This window comes from Homo sapiens, chromosome 1, assembly GCF_000001405.40.
Source record: "Homo sapiens chromosome 1, GRCh38.p14 Primary Assembly".
NCBI classification, from domain to species: Eukaryota; Metazoa; Chordata; class Mammalia; order Primates; family Hominidae; genus Homo; species Homo sapiens.
Window position 1 is genome coordinate 106,284,747 of NC_000001.11, and position 2,938 is coordinate 106,287,684.

Below are 2,938 nucleotides of genomic sequence, written 5' to 3' on the forward strand. Positions count from 1 at the left end.
GCTATTGTGAATAATGCTGCAATAAACATACGTGTGCATGTGTATTTATAGCAGCATGATTTATAGTCCTTTGGGTATATACCCAGTAATGGGATGGCTGGGTCAAATGGTATTTCTAGTTCTAGATCCCTGAGGAATCGCCACACTGACTTCCACAATGGTTGAACTAGTTTACAGTCCCACCAACAGTGTAAAAGTGTTCCTATTTCTCCACATCCTCTCCAGCACCTGTTGTTTCCTGACTTTTTAATGATTGCCATTCTAACTGGTGTGAGATGGTATCTCATTGTGGTTTTGATTTGCATTTCTTTGATGGCCAGTGATGATGAGCATTTTTTCATGTGTTTATGCAGCCAGGTGTTTCTATCTTAAGTAATCTGTTAGATTGGAGATTTCCAAATTTGCTGCCTATAAGACATGCAAAAACTTAAAAAATATATTATTTCAAGAAATGGAATATACTGCAACAAAGCAGGAGAATCTTTTGAGATTAGCAATGAAACAAAGTTGCCCACCCAGGAAAGTAAGTGAGTGGCAGTAATGCCGAAATACCCTGATGGAATTAAGCCTTCCATGTATAGAGCCTGCACAGAGAAGGAGAAAGGAGAGACCATGAGCTAAGCCTTGGACTAGTGCTAGGAAGAGAAACTACACCTTAAAAATAAGGGAATCAGAAAGAGCTACATCTTGAGGAAAATCATTAACTTAAAAGATAGTTTCCTGTGTGCTCTTAATGGTAGATTAAAAGACAAATAAAAAAGGTCCCCCCTCCTTTCTAGTATTTCAAAGGCATTAACTACCTTATGTGTGTTTAGGGCCTGAATGTTTACATCCCAAATCATCCAGTTGAGATGATACTTCAGGAAGTACCAGGAAAAGTCCAACATAAATCTTCTTGGATAAACACACCCTAATATACACATAGGGTATGAGTGATGTTACCTGTGTGGAGGGTATGTGGGTCTCCACTCCAATGTATCTTTGAACTTCTGTAGAGAAAATTTCAACAAATGTCAGCCCGCAAATAGTAAAATCACAAGCACAAGAAAGTAGGAGGAAATTCAAAACAAATGTTTACACAGTAGCGAAGTGCTTAGCAAGTTTCAGCTAATTTATTTTTATGGCTTTTATCAATTACATCATAATATACTGGAGTTGATTTCATATAGGCAGTGACACAGTAATTAATACGGATTTTTCAATCAGAGAGAATCAGAGAGCTATGTAATGTGAGGTGGCGGATAAATGCAGCAGTGTTGAAATGAAACTACCTAATTTATTTTCATAATTAAAGGGTAGTAATAAAAAAGACACTAATTTAGCTTCAATCGTTAAAGAGATTCTTTGGAAATGCTGAAAGAGAAAAATGTCATCAATAGCAGCCCCAAATGGAAAGACCATGTAGCAAAAAAATTTAAATAAATAAAACATCTTGTTTTCTAAAAGCCCCCACAGAGTTTTTAAACAAGTAATTCTCATGGAATTAATATATGTGCGTGTGTCTATATATATATGTGTGTGTGTATATATATATATATATGTGTCGGTATATATATATATATATATTATATGTGTGGGTGTGTGTGTGTGTGTGTGTATATATATATATATATATATATATATAATATGTGTATTCTCAACAAGTTTCAATGCCTTTGTAGAGAGATTGTAGAGAGATGTTAGTTGTAAAAATGTTGATAGATAGATTGCTGGTAAAAATCTATACCCCCCAAAAAGCTCATTATAGACTGTTTAACATGGACTGAAGTATTTCACATGTGCCAAATAATTTTGTTTTCATTTTGCTTACTTACTCACACATCATTCAAGCATCTTTATTTAACATTTAGCATGCACCTTGCACTGTTGTAACCACTGAGGATATGGCAATAAAACAAAGTGCAAACAATGTCATTAGCTTCTTACATTTGCGTGTTGAGGAGGCAGACAAAAGATGTAAAGAAATGAATATATATTAGATGCAATAAGTGTTTTTGAAAAAGAAACAGTAAAGGAGAATAGAAAATTACAGGATACTATTTCATATAAGTTGCTAGAGTAAGACTCCTCTGATAAAGCAGCATTTGTTCAGAGACCAGAAGTAAGCTACAAAACAAAAACTAAGCACTTTAGCAAAAGAGTGTTATATCAAAAGGAACAACAGGTGCGGACTCTCGGGCAGAAGCAGATTCAGCATGTTTGCAGAATATCGAGTACGTCATTGGGGTTAAAGCAGAGAGTTCTCCGGAACTACATCATGGGGAATCTTGTGGATCATTGTACTCTAAGTTATTTTGAATGAGATGGGAGCCATTGGAGAGTTCTAAACAGAGTAGTTACATGATCTGACTTAGGCTTTTAAATGGTAATTCTGGCTGCACTGAGGGGAAAAAACAATGGAGAGAATGGGACAAGGGTGACAATAAAGAGAGCAGATAAAGAACTACTGCAAATGCACCAGTAAGAACTTATAAAGGTTTAGATCATGTTGGTAGCAGTGCCAATAGACAGAAGACGAACAGAAAGTACAGTACAAGAAAAAGACAAATGTCAAAGAGGACTGAATGATTTTTGGCCAAATTAACTGAAGAATGGAACTACATTTTAGTTAGATGGGAAAGACTTTTGGTGAGGGAAAACAAGAGTTCATTTGGACATTGAAATGGTGATGTTGAGTGGAGAATTTGATTTTCACCTTTAGAATTCAGGAGAGAGCCCTGAGTTGAAGATATACATTTAGTTGTCATCAGAAAGAAATGTTATTTAAAATCACGAGAGATTATGCTCTTACCTAGGGCGTGAATTTACATAAAAGAGAAAAGAGTTTAGAACACTGGGATCAAGGCTGATCAAAGTTGAGAAATCAGTAGGAGGGGGAGAAACCAGTAATGAAGTGTAGCAAGAAGCATCCAGCGAAGTGGAAGGAGAACAAGTGAAG

The 2,938-nt window shown here is 35.8% G+C and overlaps 1 annotated feature.

The window, feature by feature from the left end:
• Nucleotides 2,055-2,556: an enhancer, noted in NCBI's record as "NANOG hESC enhancer chr1:106829423-106829924 (GRCh37/hg19 assembly coordinates)". NCBI's record gives its function as "activates a minimal SCP1, AML or CMV promoter by ChIP-STARR-seq in naive H9 embryonic stem cells {active_cell/tissue: H9 hESC(naive)}" and the evidence as "EXISTENCE:reporter gene assay evidence [ECO:0000049][PMID:30033119]".